Source organism: Homo sapiens, chromosome 10 (assembly GCF_000001405.40).
Source record: "Homo sapiens chromosome 10, GRCh38.p14 Primary Assembly".
NCBI lineage: Eukaryota > Metazoa > Chordata > Mammalia > Primates > Hominidae > Homo > Homo sapiens.
The window spans coordinates 93,542,658-93,556,192 of NC_000010.11; positions in this window are offsets into that span (position 1 = coordinate 93,542,658).

The window sequence follows — 13,535 nt, forward strand, 5'->3', positions numbered from 1 at the left end:
GGAGTGTCAGGGCTGGAAAGGAACTGTGAGATCATCTACTCCAGTGTCTTTTGTCCAGGAAATCCCTCACTCATGGAGCTTGTTGAAAACGGTGGTTCTTTGGCTTCCCCCAAATCTCCTAAATCAGAACATCTGGAAGAAGCTGCATTTTTAACAAGCTCTCCAAAGCATCTCCAAAACATCTGATGCATTACTAAGATTGGAAACCTCTGATCTCATTTAACCCTGATGAAATGGAGTCCCAGAGAGGAAAGTGACTTTTCCAAGATCACAGAGCAGATTTGCAGGAGAGGGAAGGAGGCCCAGGCTCCCGAAGGCAATGGTTGTTAGGGCCCCTACCATCTGGGCTTGTATGACACAATTCCAGCAACTTCGTTCTTTCCAAGCCCCCCAGTGCTTCGTCTTCCTAAGGCAAACCTAGCGGTTTATTGGCTTGATTCCCTTCTTCTTTGTCCTCTGTGCTGTGCTCTCTGCTTTTGAATCTAATTATTTTTGGCCTTGATGGTTGAGTAGGAAATATTAGCAAGACATCCAAGGGGCGTCCTCTCTGCCATCCTGCCTGCAGATGGTAACACTGCAAATAAGTGGTAACACCCAAATAAGGGTGAAAGATCAAGACCAAGCTAGGGGTTTTTGTAGAGTGCATAGACAGAATCCAGAGAGATGACAAAGAAAGGAGTAGAGAGGACTGAGCCCTGGGGACTGTCCCATGATCCAGAAGTAGATAGGAGCACTCAGAATCACATTCATGTTGTGTCACCCAAATCAAGCAACCATAGAAAGAAGGAATGGTACGCCCCGAGGAGAAAGAGTTAGCACCTGATTATGGCCTTCACCTCCTCGCCCGCCAGGTTCACTAGATTGATTTCACCCCAGGAGCGGCACATCTCCTACTAAAACGTTTTAATAGGTATTACAGGTAAATTTGCTGAAGAAATCTTATCCCTTTCAGGTGATGTATCAAGCACTGATCTCGTCACTTGCTTCAGCAAATATTTAAACCATTTGCAACAAGCAAGGTGCCGTGCAAGGCTCTAGAGATGGAGAGAAGAGTAAAGCAGAGATCGTCTTCAGCAGAGCCATGGCCAGGCCGACATCAATGCAGATCAATGGCAGCACAATGAGGTAAATGCCACATTAAAGTCACCCCAAGGATGAGAGGACAGGCTTTCCAAACAAGGCCATGACTGAGCTAGGTTTAAGAAAACAAATGCTATTTCAGTACTAGTAGTATTTGTTCCTGGACTTAGGTTGCAAGTAAGTCATTAGGCAGAGCTTAAAGAAAAATATGCCTTGTATTTTATTGGTCACTTTTTGATGTCAAAGGATGAGGCTGTAGAGGAAGGGCAGTAGATCAATCCAGTTTCTGATACAGTGAAGGGCGTTGCTTCATATTCTACTAACTTGATGTTGAGAGTCACTTAGCTTCAAAAATACAGTAAGTAAATTATTTTGAATGCTGAACTATCAGAGGAGATAGTAAACAAAGGTTTTTGTTTTTGTTTTTTAGTTTTTTGTTTGTTTTTCGAGACATGGTCTCACTCTGCTGCCCAAACTGGAGTGCAGTGGTGTAATCTTAGCTCACTGCATCCTCAAACTCCTGGACACAAGTGATCCTCCCACTCAGCCTCCTGAATAGCTGGGACTACAAGCAGGTGCCACTGTGTGCCCAACTAATTTTTTTTTTTGAAATGGACTCTCTTTTTTTTTTTTTTTTTTTTTGAGACGGAGTCTCACTCTGTCGCCCAGGCTGGAGTGCAGTGGTGGGATCTCGGCTCACTGCAAGCTCCGCCTCCCGGGTTCACACCATTCTCCTGCCTCAGCCTCCCAAGTAGCTGGGACTACAGGCGCCCGCCACTACGCCCGGCTAATTTTTTTGTATTTTTAGTAAAGACGGGGTTCACCACGTTGGTCAGGCTGGTCTCGAACTCCTGACCTCATTATCCATCCTCCTCAGCCTCCCAAAGTGCTGGGATTACAGATGTGAGCCACTGCGCCCGACTGCTAATTTTATATTATTTGTAGTGACAAGGTCTGGTTTTGTTGCCCAGGCTGGTCTCAAACTCCTGGGTTCAAGCGATCCCCTGCCTCCCAAATGCTTGGATTACAGGCATGGCCTCTAAACTAAAGGTTTTAATGAAGGAGAAGAAAAGCCTTGGGGGAAAAATGCTATTATTCTGTTTGATTCACAAATTATGCATAATGGCACATGTGCTACCTTGCATGGATTATGAAGGCAAGCATTTTCACTTCAGTTTTGTAAGGTAGAGGTAAGGGGCAGGAGAAGCTGATAATAGAGGATTAAGAAAAAAACTTGTAGAGTATATTATTATCAGCATAAACTTAGCAATCTGTTAATTAAATTTTGATCTGTTAAATGAGTTTAACAATATGTTGCATATATGCCACAGTAGTAATTTCTTCCCTTGAAGGAGTGAACTTTACGGAAGTGATTCTGTTTATTGGCACTCAAAAGAGAAGCACCTCAAATTAAAAAAAATTTTTTTTGTAGAGACGAGGTCTCATTATGATGCCCAGTCTGGTCTTGAACTCGCGGGCTCATGCAATCCTCCCACCGCCTCAGCCTCCCGAAGTGTTAGGATTACAGGTGTAAGCCACCACACCCAGCCCAATCAATTTAAATTTTTTCTTTTGTTTTACTGCTTGTTTTACATCATGTTACTGTGCAAAGAGCTTTGAAAAGGGAACTACCAGACCTGGAATCAAATTCTGGTTCTGACTTTGAGCCAGTCTCTTAAATTCTGTACAAATTTTAGTTTCCTCAACTCCAAAATAGGAATATTAATGCCTATCCCATAACATCCCAGGATGTTATCCAGGTTGGGCACGGTGACTTACACCTGTAATCCCAACACTTTGGGAGGCTAAGGCAGGTGGATAACCTGAGATCAGGAGTTCAAGACCAGCCTGGCCAACATGGTGAAACCCAGTCTCTACAAAAATACAAAAATTAGCCAGGCATGGTGGCAGGTGCCTGTAATCCCAGCTACTCAGGAGGCTGAGGCAGGAGAATCATTTGAACCCAGGAGGTGGAGGCTGCAGTGAGTCAAGATTGCACCACTGCATTCCAGCCTGAGCAACAAAGTGAGATTCCATCTCAAAAACAGGAAAGAAAATCAAAATCCAGTATTCCAGGGGCTCCTGTGTATTAAGTGTTTTTAGTATCCCAGGTGATATGTTAAACACTTCATAAGTGTCATGTCATTTTATTCTCACAGTAACACTATATGGGAGTTTCTATAATGGTTCCATTATACAGATGAGAAAGCTATGTTTAGAGAGCTTGTCCAAGGTCAGACAGCAAAAAGGGTGGCAAGTCAGAATGTGAACCCAAGTGTGTCTGCCTCTAGAGGCTGAGCTATCAAACCCTACGTTATGTGGCCACTCTTCTATCACCCTAAAGCCAGAAAATGTATGTGAAAGCACATTGCAGATGGCAAATACTGTCCCAGATTATTTTCATTTTTCAGCAATGACTGTAGTGTGGACGGAGCTGGAGAGAATGTGAGAGAAGAAAGTGACATGACCTGCCCCCAGAACTGCCATTCATTTTACTTGTCCATTATCACCATCTGTCATCCTCACCTGAAACTAGTATCAACGCAGGTGCATTCAAATGCAAATAACAGAAAAGACTTACACCATCACGACATTTATTGTCTTTTTAAAAAGAAGTATGGAATCAGATGCTCGCAGTTTAGATCAGCAATTTCACAAGGTTAGGGCTCTGGACTCTCATCTCTATCACTCTGCCCAAGTTCACATCTCTACTGCTACAGTTCCAAGCCTCACATTCTAATAAGATTTTTCTTCAAAACCAAGAAGACACCTTGCCACGGTCATGAATGAGCACTCCTAATATGTTTCTTTTGTTTTATTGGAAAGTCCATTCTTTGGAAATGGAAATATTTATAAGGAAACTCCACAGCACATGTCCCTTACATGTTATTGACTAGAAATGGATATATATTGTATTAGGATGGGCCAGGCTAGGCTTTGGTAAGAAGTAAGCCCTGAAATCTCAGTGGCTGAACACAATGGAGGTTTATTTCTTGCTCGCCTGACAATCTTTGTGTGCTGGTGGCCCCCTTTCATCTTGTAGCCTCCACCATCACTGCAGCAGGGGAAGAGAGAGATGGAAATGGTGCACCGGTTTTTGGGTTTTAGTTTTTTTTTTTTTTTTTTTTAACACGGAGTTTCACTCTTACTGCCTAGGCTGGAGTGCAATGGCGCAATATTGGCTCACTGCAACCTCCACCTCCCGGGTTCAAACAATTCTCCTGTCTCAGCCTCCTGAGTAGCTGGGATTACAGGCACATGCCACCACGCCCGGCTATTTTTTTTTTTTTTTGTATTTTTAGTAGAGATGGGGTTTCATCACATTGGTCAGGCTGGTCTCGAACTCCTGACCTCAGGTGATCCACCTGTCTCTGCCTCCCAGAGTGCTGGGATTACAGGCGTGAGCCACCACGCCCGGCCTTTGTGCACCGGTTTTTAACTGCCCCAGATGGGAAGGGCTGCATCTCTGCTCACATTCCTATTAGTCAGAACTTGGCCCCATGGCCTCACCTACTGCAGAGGTGGCTGGGAAGGGCAATTGACCCAGGAAAGGAAACAGCAAGATGAACACATTGTATTGTGTGCCGCACACTGCCACCCCCACATGTCAGGGAAGGAGGGTCTTGGGAAGGCTGCTGGGTGGGTGACTGCCACTCCACCTCACTTCCACTTACTCCCCAACCAGGCCAGCAAGTCTGGTCACAGATGTGGCAGGGGAGGCTCCCCTTCTGTGGGTTTCCATGGCCTTGAAGGAAATAAAAATATTTCTCCCTAAAATATTGAGGATTGTTAAATTAAAGACCCTTAAAACATGGGAACACTCTACCTCACCCTCTACTTGCCTGATGGCAGGACATAAATCCTTCCAAACTGGATGTGTGGGTGAATGGGCAGCTGGATGGATGAGTGGGCAGGTAGATAAGTGGGTGGATGGATGGGTGGGTGGATAATTGGGTGGATAGATGGGTGGGTAGGTGGATAGATGGGTGGAGGGTTCAATAGGTAGATGAATGGATGTGTGGGTGGGTGAATGTGTGGGTTGGTGAGTAGATGGATTGATGGATGGATGGATGGGTAGATGGGCAGGTGGATGGGTTGGTGGATGGATGGGTGGGTGGGTTAATGAATGGGTTTGTGGGTGGATGGATCAATGGATCTTCCATACTACTTATGCACCCAGAGAAGGCACCAGCAGATACCAGAGGAATCTGGAAGCAGATTTTACAATCTTTCCACATTTTCCCTACCTTTTAAAAAGGGAACTGCTCTCTCTCTTGTCTTGTCACTATGTAGGATTTATGGCTCTTTCTTAAAATACTATTTAAGCAAGGCCACTGCCTTGAGAGAGAAATACTTTTTTTTTTTTTTTTGAGACAGGGTCTCACTCCCAGGCTGGAGTGCAGTGACACAATCAAGGCTCACTGCAGCCTCAAGCTCCTGGACTCAAATGATCCTCCCACCTCAGCCTCTCAAGTAGCTGGGACTACAGGTGTGCACCGCCACGTCTGGCTAATTTTTGTGTTTTTTGTAGAGACAGGGTTTTGCCATATTGCCCAGGCTGGTTTCAAACTCTAGGGCTCAAGGAATCCTACCTCCTCGGCCTCTTGAAGTGTTAGGATTACAGGTGTGAGCCACTGTGCCTGGTGGAAAGGAATACTTTTAAAACTGAGGCCTCTTTCACATAATGGGTACATCACACATTAATAAACTTCTGCTTGTTTTTCTTTTGTTAATCCGACTTTTGTTTTCAGGAGAGTGACTCAACTAAGAAGCTAAAAAGAGAAATTCCTCTCTGCAGCCTCCCTCTTCCCCAACCCTTCTCTCTCAGTATTAGTCTTTCACTGGCCTGCCACCCTCTCCCCAACCCTGACCCTAACACACTGTAGACTTCTTAAGGTCACAGGTTGTCTTCCCTTCCCATCTCTCACAGCTACACTAGGATCTGGCCCATTGTAGGTGCGCAGCAGATGGTTTTAGAGCAAGTGAAAGAGGGTCTTTTTGAAACAATGGTTTCAATCATTTGTGTCTGAGAGCTGCCTGGCTTTTTATCTTTTGAATTTCTGGTAGAATCATTGAGGAAAGAGAAGTATGATTCAACCCTTAAACAAACATGGATACACAAGATGCCATAATGCAGACTTCAAAAATGTGGCCATAAATAAAGTAAATATTTGGTCAATGACATCAACCTATGTAAAACATTTCTTTAAGGAAACTGACTTAGAATCCCACTTAAAATACCTTAAAAGACCTGGCTTTACTCAAGACTACATTTCCCAGATTGAAAGTATTGAGCCGGGCACAGTGCCTCACGCCGTAATCCCAGTACTTTGGAAGGGCGAGGCGGGCAGATCACCTGAGGTTGGGAGTTCGAGACCAGTCTGACCAACATGGAGAAACCCCATTTCTACTAAAAATACAAAAAATTAGCCAGGCATGGTGTCACATGCATGTAATCCCAGCTACTTGGGAGGCTGAGGCAGGAGAATCACCCGACCGGGAGGTGGAGTTTGCTGTGAGCTGAGATCGCTCCACTGCACTCCAGCCTGGGCAACAAGAGCAAAACTCTGTCTCAAAAAAAAAAGTGTTGAGTGCCTTGCATGCCCAGAGAAGGTACCACAGGGATGGTGGCTGAGGCAATGGGTAAAAATTACAGGGTAGTTAGATATATACTCTTTAAGAAATTTAATTTAATTAAGGAAGCCAAATAAGAGAGATGCTTTATCAGCAGGGATTATCATCACTATTATAGTTGTTTGTTTGTTTGTTTGTTTGTTTGAGATGGAGTCTCACTCTGTCACCCAGGCTGGAGTGCAGTGGTGCCATTACTTCGACAAAACCGCAATTACTTTTGCACCAACCCATAGCAGGTGTCTTGCTAATCCGTCACTGTGTAACAACACACCCCAAAGCCTAGTGGCTTAAAGCAAAAATGTATGACTACCTCTCATGGTTCTGTGGATTGATGGGGCTCAGCTGGGTGGCTTCCTCTCCGAGTCTCTCAGCAATTTCTTCAGATAGTCTTAAGGCCTAGTTTTAGAAGTCACACAGCACCACTTTGACTGCCATCTTTTATTTATTTATTTATTTATTTATTTATTTTTGAGACGGAGTCTCACTGTTGTTGCCCAGGCTGGAGTGCAATGGCACAGTCTCCACTCACCGCAACCTCCGACTTCTGGGTTCAAGTGATTCTCCTGCCTCAGCCTCCCAAGTAGCTGGGATTACAGGCACCCACCACCATGCCCAGCTGATTTTTTTTTTTTTTTTTTGTATTTTTAGTAGAGACGGGGTTTCTCCGTGTTGGTCAGGCTAGTCTCGAACTCCTGACTTCAGGTGATCCACCCGCCTCGGCCTCCCAAAGTGCTGGGATTACTGGTGTGAGCCACCATGCCCAGCCTTTATTTACTTATTTTTGAGACGGAGTTTCACTTTTGTTTCCCAGACTGGAGTGCAATGGCGCCATCTTGGCTCAGTGCAACCTCTGCCTCCCAGGTTCAAGCGATTCTCCTGCTTCAGCCTCCCGAGTAGCTGGGATTACAGGCGCGTGCCATCATGCCTGGCTAATTTTTGTATTTTTTGTAGAGACGGGGTTTCACCATATCGGCCAGGCTTATCTTGAACTACTGACCTGAGGTGATCCGCCCGCCTCAGCCTCCCAAAGTGCTGGCCCAGCCACTGCATTCTGTTATTTAAAAACAGGGCACAGGACCAGCCTTGCTTTAAGAGGAGAAGACAACACACAAGGGGATGAATACCAGGAAACATCCTTCACTGGGAGCCATTGTGGAGACTACCACAGTGGAGCAAGCTGAATGAGCAAACACAAGGCATCTCTTGTGTGTGCTGAGGACCATGCCTCTTGAAAGGGCTTTCACATCCATTTTCATTTGATCACAGGTATGTGAGCTAGGCAAGCCCGTGTCAGGACTAGATTTCCTTTTATTTTTTTTTCAATTCTCAGAACATTCTGGATATAGATCTCTATTTTATACATATAGACGCTGTAGCTCAGCAAAATTGAGTAGATTATCAAAAGTCACATGGCTTCTAAATGTGGGTGTGGAATGTGAACTTTGGTCTTCCGATTTAGCCCTGCAAACTATAGAATTTTCCAAGCCACCAACGCTCAGAACTTTTTGACACCTTGAACAAACCAGGAAGGAGACAAGAGTCTCCACCTGCAAAAAGTAATCAAGGGGAAGCAGCCACAGATCTAAATTTGAAAAGAAAAAGGTTATCACAATTGTTAGAGTTTTACAACATGGTCATACCTACTATAATTGGTGATGGGGAATGGATACGTGGCCACTGCTCATGAGAGTGTGATTTGGTGCAAACTTTCCAGAAGTGCAATAGATATTAAAGCCTTAGTTTTGCAAAATTTGTAAGCTAGGAGAAAGTTAGCCAGGCCTTAGAGCCTCCTTCCTGCATGGGTTGTAGAAAGACAGGACATGGGGCTTGCACTCAGAAGCTGCTCAACTAAGGCTGGTTATTTGTCTAGGGAGTCAGGAATCTGATGAGGCCAGGCCAGGGGCCTCTGAGGCTGAACAAAACATTAGCACAGGAGGAGCAAAAGTTAAGCACACACACACACTCATGCATGCACACACATATGCACATGAACCCAATCCAAAATTTCATATCTAGAAAATTTTCTAGATTGGGTAGATTTTTGCTAACAGGGAAAAATTACAAATAGTTAAATAGCTAACAAGAAGTATTTTGTTAAACAATGGGAAACTATTCTGCCATTAAATTGAAGTAGTAGAAAACTATTTAGTGCCACATGAAAGACTGCAATATTATTGATGGGGAAAAAGCAGATTTTGAAAGAGCATTGTAATATTATCATATTTTTTTTTTCAAAAATATACATGTGGGCATATACACAGAAGAGATAAGAAAGAAAGAATACCAAAATGCTAATAATAGTTATTTAAGGATGGTGAGACTATGGGTGATTTTTTCTTTTTCTTTTTCTTTTCTGAGACAGAGTCTTGCACTGTCGCCTGGGCTGGAGTGCAATGGCACGATCTCTGCTCACTGCAACCTCTGCCTCCCGGGTTCAAGCGATTCTCCTGCCTCAGCCTCCCAAGAAGCTGGGATTACAGGCGCCCGCCACCATGCCTGGCTAATTTTTTGTATTTTTAGTAGAGACGAGGTTTCACTGTGTTGGCCAGGCTGGTCTCGAACTCCTGACCTCATGATCCACCCACCTCAGCCTCCCAAAGTGCTGGGATTGCAGGCGTGAGCCACTGCGCCCAGCCTTTTCTTTTTCTTTTATTTCACTTTTCTTTCTTTTTCTTCTCTATATTTTCAAATTGCTTATAGGATGTGTTGCTTTCATAATGAGTTTTTGAAAAAGAAAATAAGAATGGGAATTATATTTTCTATGGGAAAATATAGAGAATTTTAAGCTGATTTCAACCAACCAATGGAAAATATACAAATGAATAATATAGTACTGTGTATCTGACTTTTCAAAGTGCTTTCGAATTCAAGGTCTAATTTGATTTCTGTAATAACTCAGTGACGGAGACTGGACAGGTATTATTATTTCTATTTTGCAAATGGGACAAGTGAGCCTCTAACCAGCCAATTAGTGACAAAACCAGGACGAGATCCAGATCTCCTGGGCCATTCATGGACCTCAGATGAAATCACACCTGGCTTTGAATTTGGACAGCTTACTTTCTATGCAACTTAATCTGTTGGGGACCCCCTGTTTTAGCCCACCCAGAATCCCTTGTCCCATCTTTTGGTCTCAGCACCCTGACTTTTCTTATGAACCTGCCCTTCCTCTGTCGGTCCAGATTCCTGATGGGCATGAGACCCCACCCTGCCTACAAGAGCCACCCTTGGGAAGTGTGAGGATAGTGCTGGAAGAGTCTGCTGAGCTGGTAGGAAGTGGGCAAGAGCTGCTATGGCCTCTTTGCCTCCACTAGGGGATGGATGGGCTTCCTGAAACAAACCCAATTCAGAGAAAAGAGTCAGAGGTGAGGACAGGTGCCCAAATAAGTTGTTGTTGTTTGCATCCCTGGATCCAGATGTGCCTAAAGCTAAAGTCACTGCCTGGATTTTTTGCTTATCCAGGCCAGTGCATTTCTTTTTTTCTTTCTTTTTCTTTTCCTCCTCCTCCCTTTTATCCTCCTTCTCTCCTTTCTTCTCCTCCATTTCTGTTTGTTTTATTTGAGTTGGATTCCTGTTAGTTGTAACCCAACGTCTCCCGATCATTATATTCTTCTGCCTCAGTCTTCTCACCTGTAAAATGGGGATGATAATAATAACAATGTTCTTCTTCTGCACAGGATTGTTGTGAGACTTAGCTGAGTCACCACAAGTAAGGTGCTTGTTACATAGTGAGAGGTCAGTAAATGTTACCTATTAAGGAGTTGGAAAAAGCTGAATTCAGAGAATTTTATCTCCCTGCTGGGGGCGGTGGCTCACACCTGTAATCTCAGCAATTTGGGAGGCTGAGGCAGGTGGATCATCTGAGGTCAGGAGTTCAAGACCAGCCTGGTCAACGTGGTGAAACCCCGTCTCTACTAAAAATACAAAAAATTAGCCAGGCATGGTGGCACGCGCCTATAATCCCAGCTACTCAGGAGGCTGAGGCAGGAGAATCACTTGAACCTGAGAGGCGGAGGTTGAAGTGAGCCAAGATTGCACCATTGCATTCCAGCCTGGGCCACAGAGCGAGACTGTCTCAAAAAAAAAAAAAGAAAAAGAAAAAAAGAAAAAAGAAAGTTTTATTTCCCCTCCCCCGCAAAAAAGAAAGAGATTTCTCCATGCATCAAAATATGAGGAATAGATTCCTATAATGCAAATTATGAGAAAAGAGAAAGCACTGTGTCAGTCAGTTCACCAGGGAGTCATTATTCCAGAATTTATGGCCTAGGAGTCACTGACCTCACCTCACGCCTCTGTCTTTCTCTCTTTCTCTCACTCTCTTGCTTGTGTGTGTGTGTGTGTGTGTGTGTGTATGTGTGTGTTTCACAGGAATTGCGAGAGAGGAGGAGAAAGGGGAGATGAAGTGGTTGGCTGGACAGAAATGGCTGGTTTTGCAATGCAGTTTGGGGAGAGGAAAAGTAAACTGGGAGAAAGTTATCCAGGCCTTAGAGCGTCCTTCCTGCATGGGTTGTAGAAAGAGAGGACATGGGGCTTGCCATTCGGAAGCTGCTCAGCTAAGTCTGGTTATTTGTCTGGGGAGTCAGGAGTCTAATGAAGCCAGGCCAGAGGCCTCTAAGGCTGAACAAAACATTAGCACAGGAGGAGCAACAGTTACACACACACACACACACACACACACACACACACCCATTCTGGCTGGATTAAACAGAAAAAGGTATAATGTAATTCACAGGCTCTCCGATGGGAGGGCCAGAGAATTGACCGTGAAGACTTCCCAGCCTGGAACGATGTCACATGATGAAGGCTGCTCCAGTGGAACACTCAGTGTCACCACACTACAGCACAGACACCATGCCTGGCTTGCACCACTGGTTCTGGATGTGAGATCCTAGAAGCCTCTTGATTGTGCCCTAAACTCTTGCCCATAAATGGATTCTGTGAAACCCTAGCTTGTCCTCTCCTGCAAAGGCAAGTCTCTCACGGTATGTCTGGTGGTCTAAGCTTAGGGTACATGCCTTGGTGCAAGGGAGATGGGAAAGCCAGTGTTGACCTTTCCCTTGGGGAGGCAGGACTCATACTGTGGGAAATTTGCAAGTCACCTGATAGAGTTCAAAAGGACAACCATCAAGTCTGATATATATCCCCACAATAGCATTGCTATATTGGGTGTGTGTGTGTGTGTGTATGTATGAAATAGACAAATGATCTATATCTCAAGGTCCACTTTCCAGGATGGTTTCATCCTTAAAAATCCAAAGAACCATCATTCAAGCTGCCACCAGGAGCAGGGAGCCCAGTTCCCTCATTTGGGTGTCACTCAATACCTCTGAGTCCAGACAACTGTTCCAAGCTCCAGGTACCGTCTGGTCACCCCTTCTCCTTGTGGCTCTGCTTGTTCAGGTCAGCATTGCCCCCATATGTGGGCCCAGGTCCCTTTCTCCCCTTACCCCCGAAATGAAAAGCTGACACACTCTTCAGAGATGTACCAGGCTCATGGATGGATGGACGGATGGATGGGCGTATAGGTGGATGAGGGGGTGGGTGGATGGACACCAGAGGTTTGAGGACAATGGTCACTGTAGCCAATGACACCAGGGGGCAGTGCGGAGCAGCTTTTCAAGGCCTAACTCCCTACACTCTTCCATCAGACCTGGCTGGCAGGGCTTGGAGAGCTCATTTTGTTCAACATTTTCATTTGTGAGGAAGTTGTTGAGGCCCAAGACAGGAATGGCTGTGTCAGTAGCGCACAGCAGCTGAGCTGGCTCTTGATGCGGCTCCAGCACCCTCTGCATTACAGTATTTACATAAGCCCACCTTCCCAGGCTCGGAGGGCCCCCACGCTGCCAAGCCTCCGTCAGCTATCAGTGATTCTGGAGCCCTTCCTAGGAGTCTCATCGGTTGCCGGCTGCTGAACTCAATCAGCATAGAGGAAACAGACAGTCAGAGTTCAGGGCGTTGGCCAGGCTGAGTCATTGTCTTCGCCCCTCCGAAGGGCTGCATGTTAGGGCCCTCACTGGACACCCCTTCCCTAGCCATGTCTTTTCTCTCCTTTTGGAATCCAGATCACCTGGAGGTCATATTTCCCAGGAAAGGAAGGACCCCACGCTGAGAACACATCTTACAATAAATGATCCCTCTCTTCTCAAAATTTACGTCTGTGTTACATCCCCTTTAGCCCTGCTTTTTAATTTCCACTGCCTGTTTCTTTGGGGGCAGTGGGGGTGGAGTGGGGGAGTACCAGGGTGGTGATGGCCCCTCCCACCCCCACCCCTATCCTTATCCATCTTTACAGCAGGCTCCTGAGGACCACGACTTAGATAGCAGAGACATCAAGAGGCTCACTAAACCTCAAATTTCCATTTTCGTTCATTCATCTATTTAATTATTCAACTATTGAAAATATTTTAAGCCCCTCCTATGTGTCAGATGCTAAAAAAAGTCACAAACTTACACTTCTTAAGCCCTTACTACACTAAAGGTGTGACATTTAGTATATTATCTTACACAAGCCAATGAAGGAAGTATTTTATTTATTTATTTATTTTTATTTTTTTGAGACGGAGTCTTGCTCTGTCACCCAGGCTGAAGTGCAGTAGCACAATCTCAGCTCACTGCAACCTCCACCTCCTGGGTTCAAGCGATTCTCCTGCCTCAGCCTCCTGAGTAGCTGGGATTACAGGTACCTGCCACCCATATCATTCAATTCACAAGCATTTTAATGACTGTGTAGTATTCTACTGAAGACATATAACTGATTTACCTCCCCCTTACTGTTGACCTTATATCTATTGTAGAAGTGGTTTAGTGTTTCAGTGTTTAAT